Source organism: Homo sapiens, chromosome 5 (assembly GCF_000001405.40).
Source record: "Homo sapiens chromosome 5, GRCh38.p14 Primary Assembly".
Taxonomy (NCBI): domain Eukaryota; kingdom Metazoa; phylum Chordata; class Mammalia; order Primates; family Hominidae; genus Homo; species Homo sapiens.
The window spans coordinates 161,896,724-161,908,849 of NC_000005.10; the positions used below are offsets into that span (position 1 = coordinate 161,896,724).

Genomic DNA, 12,126 nt, shown 5'->3' on the forward strand with positions numbered 1-12,126 from the left:
TTTGTTGATGCCCACTTGAATATTGCTGCATACTGTATTTCCTGGTCACAGCATATTAAAGGGGCTAAGAAATTCTGTAGTAAATAAACTGGCTTAACTGTGTTTATCCCATAGTTAAACAAATGCATTAGATAAGAAAATCCTCTGTAGTGGTAACATCTACCTTATTTAATAAAATCTAAGGTGTTGTACTTCTTGATGGCAAAAGGCTATTAAATACTGCCTGCATTTTTAATTTATTATAATAAGACAGGCATAAATTATGTTTTTAAATTCCTAAATAAGGCACAGATTTAGGCTGCAAAATAAGGGCCACCTTGCTCAGCAACTTATAATTTTGCTTCTCACTGTTTACTAAACAAAATGCATTGCTCTTTCTTTCTACAGCCAAAGAAAGTAAAGGATCCTCTTATTAAGAAAAACAACACTTACGCTCCAACAGCAACCAGCTACACCCCTAATTTGGCCAGGGGCGACCCGGGCTTAGCCACCATTGCTAAAAGTGCAACCATAGAACCTAAAGAGGTCAAGCCCGAAACAAAACCACCAGAACCCAAGAAAACCTTTAACAGTGTCAGCAAAATTGACCGACTGTCAAGAATAGCCTTCCCGCTGCTATTTGGAATCTTTAACTTAGTCTACTGGGCTACGTATTTAAACAGAGAGCCTCAGCTAAAAGCCCCCACACCACATCAATAGATCTTTTACTCACATTCTGTTGTTCAGTCCTCTGCACTGGGAATTTATTTATGTTCTCAACGCAGTAATTCCCATCTGCTTTATTGCCTCTGTCTTAAAGAATTTGAAAGTTTCCTTATTTTCATAATTCATTTAAGAACAAGAGACCCCTGTCTGGCAGTCTGGAGCAAAGCAGACTATGCAGCTTGGAGACAGGATTCTGACAGAGCAAGCGAAAGAGCAAAGTCATGTCAGAAGGAGACAGAATGAGAGAGAAAAGAGGGGGAAGATGGTTCAAAGATACAAGAAAAAGTAGAAAAAAAAATAACACTTAACTAAAACCCCTAGGTCATTTGTAGATATATATTTCCAAATATTCTAAAAAAGATACTGTATATGTCAAAAATATTTTTATGTGAAGGTGTTTCAAAGGGTAAATTATAAATGTTTCATGAAGAAAAAATTTTAAAAATCTACGTCTTTATTACACAAACTATGGTGTGCTTATGTTTTTGTTTTGCTTTTTAAACTGATGTATAGCTTTAACATTTTGTTTCCAAAGCTGAAGATCCCCATTCTTTCTCTTTGAAAAAAAAAAAGGCCTAATGCATTATTTTGTCATAAAATGCTATTTTAAAATTCATGGAACTTTCATACGTAAAGGTGCAGTTGCTCATTGTAGAGCACATTTAGTCCAATGAAGATAAATGCTTTAAATAGTTTACTTCACTTTCATCTGAGCTTTTACCACTAGACTCAAGGAAGAATAATTTTAACAGACATGTATACTCCATAGAAACTAAACTAAAATAGTTTAAAAATATTCCCTTTTTCACCCTATTTTCAGATAGCACATGAGCCCAACACTCACTTAATTCTCATTATGAAGATGTTTTTAGAGGGGCAAAAATATTTTGCAAGCTCTGGAATTGTTGAATGTATTCTTTTATATAACTACATTAAAAGCTTTAGATTGAAATTTATGACTAGCAAACAAAAATAGAATATATAAACGATATATGTAAATATACAGCATGAGATTGTACATTTTTTACTTTTTTAAAATTGTGTTCTTAAAATATTGTGTAAGAATCACTGCACTTAGCTGTTGGAATGTTGTTAAATGCTATGGAAATACATTTAGAACCTGCATTTAAGAACAGAACAGCAAGTATGAACCACATGGAACTTAAAACATATGGGTGTGAAGTCCACTTATGTAGACAAAACTTATAATTTCCAAACTGTTGTCTAGTATACAGTGATCAGTTGCTCTCTGTTCAAGTCATTCCACACATTTCCCTATTTTAGGCTATTATAATATAGAAAGAAAATGGGAAGCATTAGTTGGAGCTAGAAAATGAACTGTATATTATTGCTATATTTGCTAATACCAACTATTTCAATAAGTGTTGTACCATATGTAGCATTAAATATAAAATACATAAAAGAATGTACAGAAAATAGCTTTTATTGAGTAATATTACATTTCATTTATACTGTAGCAATATATTTGTAGGTATACTATGTAAGGGCTTTAAATAAAAGAGGTCCATTAATACTTCCTTATAAAAATTCTAGTCTGTTTCATTACTGCCCAGATGTTTTAGAGATAAATATTTATGCAGAAGGTATTTTTGAAGTCTCCTTTTGTCTGATAGAGTTTAACAGATATTTAAATTTAGTGCTCAGAATCCACAAGTCACGGTCTAAACACACTTAGAATACTACAGCATAAATCTGTTAGCATTATTGCCAAATAAGACAGTTGGGATCCAAACCCAAGTCTTGAGCAATGTTTTTCTCAAAAAGCTGCTATCCAATGATATAGGAAAATACATTGTGTTTTCCTAAACACACTTTTCTTTTTAAATGTGCTTCATTGTTTGATTTGGTCCTGCCTAAATTTCACAAGCTAGGCCAATGAAGGCTGAATCAAAGACATTTCATCCACCAATATCATGTGTAGATATTATGTATAGAAAATAAAATAAATTATGGCTCTAACTTCTGTGTTGCTGTTTATCTTGTTATTTTTCGGCGTTATACTAATGTGTTTATTGAGAGCATTTTACCTTCCAGACTTCTCATGGCTAACTTTTGGTCTGTATTTTGCTCCTTAGATGTGAATATTTCTTATTAGTCTGCTTCCTGCTACGCAATGACTGCATTTCTATCATTTCTCAGTTTGTTAGTATATGTGGATAGTATTCTACTGTATAAATGATTGCAAAGTTTATCAAAAACAAATTATTATATGTAGCTTTTCTACAGTGCTTTGCTAAACCATGTAGTACTAGTTAAGTCTTCCTTGAAAATAAAGATACACTCTTATAGGGGACAGTTCCTGTTCACTCCCAGGAAACTTTTTTAAAAGATGACACTGAATGTTTATTGCACTTTAGTGCAGTGAAGTGGCAATAAAACCTAACATGAATCAAGGTTGTTTATGGCAGATGCATGTGTTGCTTTACAGAGTTTAGCAAAAGCTCTTAATTTTATGTCATACTGTATTCTACTGAATAATAAAGCTAACATTATTCAATAATAAAATGGAATACTTGACTCTCTTTTCATGTTTTGAAAGGACTTTTCATTGCTCTGTTTTAATGCATTTTTACATTAGAAGCACCTGAAAGTACCAAGTGCTAGCAGGAATCTAGGCCACTAGAAAGATACTAAAAAATGTCAATAGTATGATCCTAAACTATGATTTTTAAAAAATTATTTATGATATAAAAATGAATTAAACACCAGGTTTCTGGTATTACTAGTAGCACTTTGAAGTTTATGAAATATAAACATAAGAGAGTGAAAATGCTGAAATGATAATGGAATTTGTTCATATGTATTGATAGCATAGGAAACTCATTTTTCATTCAATCCTGAGACTCTGACTTAATTGTTTTGAGGTTGCATCTGAGCACTGTAGTTTTATAAGCTATCCTGGTGACTCTCAGTATGTAGCCAAAGTTGTTACATTGTTAATACTTTTCATTTTAACTTAAATTCCTTAAGGTTTCTGTAATCAGTCACATCAAGGTAAAAAATATTTATAATCACATGCAAGACAATAGAAAAATCATTTCAATGATAGACATAAAACCATAATTGGATTCTACACACCAGACCACATGAGACAAAATTTCTGCTTTAGATGATGGTCTTGCCAGAACAACGTAAATTGTACCTTCAACAAATAAAACCTACATATTCCCTAGTAATGACTCACAACTTTATAAAAACTCACAATTAAAAATCCTCCGACGGCTGGGTGCAGTGGCTCACGCCTGTAATCCCAGCACTTTGGGAGGCCGAGGTGGGCAGATCATGAGGTCAGGAGATCCAGACCATCCTGGCTAACACGGTGAAACCAGGTCTCTACTAAAAATACAAAAAATTAGCTGGGTGTGGTGGTGGGTGCCTGTAGTCCCAGCTACTCGGGAGGCTGAGGCAGGGGAATGGCCTGAACTCGGGAGGCGGAGTTTGCAGTGAGCCGAGATCACGCCATTGCACTCCAGCCTTGGCGACAGAGCGAGACTCCATCTCAAAAAAAAAAAAAAAAAAAAAAAAAAATTTTCCAACTAAATTATTTATTCAAATAAAACTGTCAATGTAAACTAGCTGAACCATCATATTTGTTGATTTCTGGGTTCTCATAAAAAAGAATGCGGTGAATGATGAATATTTTGTCTATCAAACCAAATTCATGTCAAGGCTCACCACATAATTATCAAAGAAATCACAATAAGAAAGGGCTTGGCATTATTGCTGACCATCTGTTTGAAATTCATTGTACCAGTTAGTTATAACCTTCTGTTGGATTTTTCTGAAATCTATCCAGCTCTTATGACCAACAATAATAAACATCTAACTTGACTATATTATACCCACAATCCAGCAAAATAGTTTAACTTCAAATGTTGATTTAATTTAATTAAACTAAATTCTACTAACATTGGCTGAGTCTTTTCCCTGTACTAAATACTGTACTTGATGATGGGGATGTAGATGTAAATATCGCCATTTTCCTTACAAAAATAATGGTTATGTTGGGGAAGGAAAACAATCAGACAAAGATAATAAAATAAGTATTATGATAAAGTAGAGGATGCTAACCAGTATGTAAAAGAAGTGCCTTGCCACTTTTCATAAGGCTAGCAAATTGGATTTGTAGAAACTAATGATGTTCAAGTTGAAACTTGAAGTATAAGAGGAATTGAAACCATCCTGGACCTGGACTATGAATGAGTGGACTTCTGATCTAATGCCAGTTTTGTGAGTTGTTAGCCATTAAACCACAAACCAAACATTTGAAACCTCTAAGATCCCTTTAGCTACTGGGATAGATACTGAGCTTGCAGAGAAGAAGATGACAATATAATCTTGGAAAGCTCATAAGTTCATAGAGATTCAGAAAGAATCTAAAATTACAATACTACCTATATTACATATAATTACTGAAAAATGTGCAAGTGTAGGAGACTTACCTGGGGAGTGGTATGAGGGAAGTCTTTAAATGAAAGTGTTAGCCAAGCTAGCTTTTGTTTTGCTTTAGGAATATAAACTTTATTTTTTCAATACAAGCTCCATCAATTCAAGACACTTCTGTAAGCAATGATACCAGACATTCAGTCCATTCCTAAATAACTGAGGGTCCTGGGAATATAACCATGTAAATGAAGTATTTTTTACATTAAGTGAAGAAAATGAGTGTCTTTTAAAAATTGTTAAGATCAGAAAACAAAAAATGTCAGAAAGAGATAAATCAGGACTGTAATGATTTCCAGTCAAAACTCTTGCAAAATTGCCCTAGTTTGACGAGATGCCCAAGCAGCATTGTTGGGGTGGAGAAGGACTCTCTGATGAAGGTTTCTTGGGCATTTTTCTGCAAAAGCTTTGGCTAACTTTTTCAAAATACTCCCATATAAGCAGATGTTATCATTCCTTGGCCTTCCAGAAAGTCAACAAGCACATTGTTTTTAGTATCACAAAAAAACTGTTGTCATGACCTTTGCCTTTGACCAGTCCGCTTTTGCTTTGATTGGACCACTTTGATATCTTGGTAGCATTGTTTTCAGGATTGTGCTGGTAGAGCCCATTCCATCTTCTGTTACAATTCTTAGAAGAAATGCTTCAGGCTTGGTCACATTTATTTAAATTTCCACTGAAAGGTTTGCTCTTGTCTGCAACTGATCTGCGCTTAATAGTTTTGGCACCTATTAAGTGGAAACTTTGCTCAACTTTGATTTTCAGTAAAATTGTGTAAGCTGAACCAGTTGAAATGTCTATGGTGTTTGCTGTGTGTTCTGCTATTAGTTGTCTTCAATTACAGCATGAACAAGATTAAAAATTTAAAATTTGCAAGTTGATGTAGATGGTTTGCTGCTGTGGGCTTCATCTTCAACATTATCTTGGCCCTTCTTAAAAATAGGTATCCATTTATGAAGTGTCTATTCATATCCTTTGCCCACTTTTTGATGGGCTTGTTTGTTTTTTTCTTGTAAATGTATTTAAGTTATTTGTAGATTCTGGATATTAGCCCTTTGTCAGATGGGTAGATTGTGAAAATTTTCTCCCATTCTGTAGGTTGCCTGTTCATGCTGATGGTAGCTTCTTTTGCTGCGCAGAAGCTCTTTAGTTTAATTAGATCCCATTGATCTATTTTGGGTTTTGTTGCCATTGCTTTTGGTGTTTTAGTCATGGAGTCTTTGCCCATGCCTATGTCCTGAATGGTATTGCCTAGGTTTTCTTTTACTTTTTATGGTTTTAGGTCTTATGTTAAGTCTTTAATCCATCTTGAGTTAATTTTTGTATAAGGTGTAAGGAAGGGATCCAGTTTCAGTTTCCTACAGATGGCTAGCTAGTTTTCCCAGCACCATTTATTAAATAAGGAATCCTTTCCCTATTGCTTGTTTTTGTCAGGTTTGTTAAAGATCAGATGGTTGTAGATGTGTGGTGTTATTTCTGAGGCCTCTGTTCTGTTCCATTAGTCTATATATCTGTTTTGGTACCAGTACCATACTGTTTTGGTTACTGTAGCCTTATACTATTGTTTGAAGTCAGGTAGCATGATGCCTCCCGCTTTGTTCTTTTTGCTTAGGATTGTCTTGGCTATGCGGGCTCTTTTTTGGTTCCATATGAACTTTAAAATAGTTTTTTCCAATTCGGTGAAGAAAGTCACTGGTAGCTTGATGGGGATGGCATTGAATCTACAAATTACCTTGGGCAGTATGGCCATTTTCACGATATTGATTCTTCCTATCTATGAGCATGGAATATTCTTTCATTTGTTTGTGTCTTCTTTTATTTTGTTGAGCAGTGGTTTGTAGTTCTCCTTGAAGAGTCCTTCACATCCCTTGTAAGTTGGATTCCTAGGTGTTTTATTCTCTTTGTAGCAATTGTGAATGGAAGTTCACTCATGATTGGGTTCTCTTTCTGTTATTGGTGTATAGGAATGCTTGTGATTTTTGCACATTGATTTTGTATCCTGAGACTTTGCTGACGTTGCTTATCAGCTTAAGGAGATTTTGGGCTGAGACCATGGGGTTGTCTAAATATACAATCACGTCATCTGCGAACAGAGACAATTTGACTTGCTCTTTTCCTGATTGAATACCCTTTATTTCTTTCTCTTGCCTGATTGTCTTGGCCAGAACTTCCAACACTATGTTGAATAGGAGTAGTGAGAGAGAGCATTCTTGTCTTGTCCTGGTTTTCAAAGGGAATGCTTCCAGTTTTTGCCCATTCAGTATGATATTGGCTGTGGGTTTGTCATAAATATCTCTTATTATTTTGAGATACATTCCATCGATACCTAGTTTATTGAGAGTTTTTAGCATGAAGGCTGTTGAATTTTGTGGAAGGTCTTTTCTGCATCTATTGAGATAATCATGTGGCTTTTGTCGTTGGTTCTGTTTATGTGATGGATTACGTTTATTGATTTGTGTATATTGAGGCAGCCTTGCATTCCAGGGATGAACCCGACTTGATCGTGGTGGATAAGTTTTTTGATGTGCTGCTGGATTCGGTTTGCCACTATTTTATTGAGGATTTTTGCATCGATGTTCATCAGGGATATTGGTCTAAAATTTTCTTTTTCTGTTGTGTCTCTGCCAGGCTTTGGTATCAGGATGATGCTGGCCTCATAAAATGAGTTAGGGAGGATTCCTTCTTTTTCTATTGATTGGAATAGTTTCAGAAAGAATGGTACCAGCTCCTCTTTGTACCTCTGGTCGAATTCGGCTCTGAATCTGTCTGGTCCTGGACTTTTTTTGGTTGGTAGGATATTAATTATTGCCTCAATTTCAGAGCCGGTTATTGGTCTATTCACAGATTCGACTTCTTCCTGGTTTAGTCTTGGGAGGGTTTATGTGTCCAGGAATGTATCCATTTCTTCTAGATTTTCTACTATATTTGTGTAGAGGTGTTTATAGTATTCCCTGAAGGTAGTTTGTATTTCTGTGGGAATGGTGGTGATATTCCCTTTAAAATTTTTTATTGCATCTATTTGATTCTTCTCTCTTTTCTTCTTTTTTAGTCTTGCTAGTGGTCTATCAATTTTGTTGATCTTTTCAAAAAACCAGTTCCTGGATTCATTGATTTTTTTGAAGGGTTTTTTTTGTGTGTCTCTATCTCCTTCAGTTCTGCTCTGATCTTTTTTATTTCTTGCCTTCTGCTAGCTTTTGAATGTGTTTGCTCTTGCTTCTCTAGTTCTTTTAATTGTGATGTAAGGGTGTCGATTTTAGATCTTTCCTGCTTTCTCTTGTGGGCATTTAGTGCTATAAATTTCCCTCTACGCACTGCTTTAAATGTGTTCCAGAGATTCTGGTACTTTGTGTATTTGTTCTCACTGGTTTCAAAGAACATCTTTATTTCTGCATTTGTGCAGCCAACAGACACATGAAAAAATGCTCACCATCACGGGTCATCAGAGAAATGCAAATCAAAATCAAAATGAAATACCATCTCGTGCTTGTTAGAATGGCAATCATTAAAAAGTCAGGAAACAAATGATGCTGAAGAGGATGTGGGGAAATAGGAACGTTTTTACACTGTTGGTGGGAGTGTAAATTAATTCAACCATTGGGGAAGACAGTGTGGTGATTCCTCAGGGATCTAGAACCATAAATACCATTTGACCCAGCGATCCCATTACTGGATATATACCCAAAGGACCATGCTACTATAAAGACACATGCACAAGTATGTTTTCTGCAGCACTATTCACAATAGCAAAGACTTGGAACCCACCCAAATGTCCATCAATGAATTACTGGATTAAGAAAATGTGGCACATATACACCATGGAATTATATGCAGCCATAAAATAGGATGAGTTCATGTCCTTTGCAGGGACACGGATGAAGCTGGAAACCATCATTCTCAGCAAACTATCACAAGGACAGAAAACCAAACACTGCATGTTCTCACTCATAGGTGGGAACTAAACATTGAGAACACTTGAGCACAGGGTGGGGAACATCACACACTGTGGCCTGTTGGGGGATGGGGGCTGGAGGAGGGATAGCATTAGGAGAAATACCTAATGTAAATGAAATTGATGGGTGCAGAAAACCAAAATGGCACATGTATACCTACGTAACAAACCTGCGCCTTGTGCACATGTACCCTAGAACTTAAAGTATAATAATAATAAAAAATAGTTATCCATTCGTAAAGTGCTACTGATTTCTTTGGGACATTGTCCCCATAAAATTTCTGTAATGTATCAGTGATTTCACCATTCTTCCACACAAGCTTCACCATAAATTTGATGTTTGTTCTTGCTTCAATTTTAGCACAATTGATGTTATCCTTCTTAGTGCCTCAAACTAGATCCAGAAACAGAATTTTCAACATAGATTTCAGACCCAGGTTTTAAAAACTGGAACACATTGCTTAATTTTCCCACAAAATCAGTCTTATTCTCAGTAATACTTTGGGATATTTATCACTGAGATGTACTGTTTCCTTCAGCAAAAAATTTTTAATTTTTTTTCAATTTTTTAAATTTAAATTTTATTTTTTTCCATCAAAGTATTCTCTACTACCAAGTTCCAACAGATGACTCAACTGGTTCTTTATAAACAAAAGACAACCCAACAAGAACATAGACATATTTTTCGAAGGAAACAAGAATGTATCTTCTTTCCTTGAACAAGGATGAGGGCTGACAAAGATTCTTTGCTTGACTAAATTGTCATCAGGTTAGTGAGCCGTCTTCTAGGCCCATCAGTGCACTTCCTTGTAAGAACTAGGTTTAACAAAGAACACTGCTAAATCAGTTTATTAACAAAGAACACTGCTAAGTAAATGTAAAGAACTCCAACCCTTGACTTATCTTATCAGGTTTCTAAACCTCCACCATCTCCCAGGTCTGATCACCCTGGCCTGAATCCAGTCCAGCTGGCTTAGCAAGACTTCCCCTTTCCCCCAATACTTCCTTTTAGCAATTTCCATCCTCTGACCCCATCCAGCTTCTTGGCTGCAAACCCCCATTGAGCCATGCTATGTTTAGTGTTGAGCCCAGCCTCTCACTCCCACTGCAAGACCCCATGGCAGTGGTCCCTACAACTGTTGTGATAGTGCTTAATAAAGTCTGCCTTACCATGCTTCAAGCTAGGATTTGAAGGACGATTAGACACTTATCAGACACTTTGGTGATGGAGATGCAGTTGATGATAAGAAATAGAGCCTTTATTAAAAGATAATGTTAACCAACCTAGGTGTACACCAAAAAGTGAATTTATAAAGAAAATGTGACATAAATACAATGTTAGAATAGTATTTTACTTTTTCTTAAAAGGAAATTTTTTCATTTATGAAAACATCAATGATCCTGGAGAACATTGTGTTACATGAAATAAGCCAGGCACAGAAAGACAAATACCACATGATCTCACTTGTATGTGAAACCTACAAGAGCTGAACTTATCGAAGGAGAGGGGGAATGATGATTACCAGGAGCTGGGGAGGTGGGTGTGGTTGGGGAGATGTTGGCCAAGTGAATATAAAATTTCAGTTAGAAAAAATCAATTGAAGAGATTTGTTGTAAAATGTGGTGACAATAGTTAATAACAGTGTATTGTATTCTTGAAAAAATGCAGTGAGGAGTTTTAAATATTCTTACCACAAAAAGTGATATGTGAGGTAACACCTATGTTAATTAGCTCGATTTAGCCATTGTATACATATCCACAATATATACATCTTTCAAAAAACAACATACTGTACATGATAAGTATATACAATTTTATTTCTATTAAAAATAACTTTTAAAAAGGATATAACTTAAAATATTAAACACAAAACTATTCAAAACAATGAAACAAGAAAACATCAAAGGAATTAAAAATAGTACACTAGAAAAATTCTACTTAACCCACAAGAAATAATAAAACAAGACTAGAAGATTACAAAAGAATTAGACACACAGAAAGCAAATAGACTGTCACCTGGCAGCATATACAAAAATAAGTCAAATTAAATCATAGATCCAAATATAAGCACCCAAACTATAAACTTTCCAGAAGAAAACAGGAAGGGAAATCTTCATGATTTGGGGTTAGCCAACAGTTTTTGGACACACTAAAATCAAAATCTATAAAAGAATGGTCATGGTTAAATTACACTTTATCAAAATTAAGAACTCTGGTGCTTCTAAAGACCACATTAGAAAATTAAAAATAACACAATCTGATAGAAAATATTTGTAAAAATTATATCTGATAATGAACATTTATCCAAGCTGCATAAATAACTTATAGAACTATATAATGAGAAAAACAACAACCCATTCTAAAAATAGGCTAAATATTTATTTGTTTTTTGTTTTTGAGACAGAGTCTGGCTCTGTCGCCCAGGCTGGAAGGCAGTGGCCCGATCTCCGCTCTCTGCAAGCTCCGCCTCCCGAGTAAAAATAGGCTAAATATTTAAGTAGGTATAAGCAAATGACTAATGAACCTATGAAATGTTCATTACCATTAGTCATTAGGAAAATGCAAATTAAAGCCACCATGATAACTTTATATCCATAGAATGGCTATAATCAAATGATAGACTATAGAAAGTGTTGAAGACAATGTGGAGAAATTGAAACATATATACATTGCTGGTGAGAATGTACAGCCACCTTGGAAAATGGTTTGGCAATTTCTTATGAAGTTAGACATAAACTTATGATATATCTCAACAGCTCTACTATTCAAACAAATTAAAAATTATGTATTCTTACAGAATTGTATGTAAATATTCATAGATACATTATTCATAAGAACCTAAAACTGAAAACATCCCAAATGTCTGTACATTAATTAATGGATAAATAAAATGTTATTCAACAAAAAAGAAGGAACAAAAGCTTGATACAAGCTACATGGATAAACTTCAAAAACATAATAAGTGAAAGAAGCCAGACACAAAGACCACATATTGTATAATTGTATT

The 12,126-nt window shown here is 34.9% G+C and overlaps 1 protein-coding gene across 5 annotated transcripts in view; it reads left to right on the forward strand.

Moving 5' to 3' along the window:
• The window catches only part of GABRA1 (gamma-aminobutyric acid type A receptor subunit alpha1), a 52,781-nt gene extending 49,533 nt beyond the window's left edge, over positions 1 to 3,248 (forward strand). For 4 of the 5 annotated variants that reach the window (NM_001127643.2, NM_001127644.2, NM_001127645.2 and 1 more), the window contains one exon: positions 388 to 3,248. In NM_001127643.2, the coding sequence (NP_001121115.1) occupies positions 388 to 699 (312 nt within the window). In that variant the 3' untranslated portion in view covers positions 700 to 3,248. The remainder of the gene's footprint in view (positions 1 to 387) is intronic. The other variant, NM_000806.5, reaches the window with a different exon arrangement.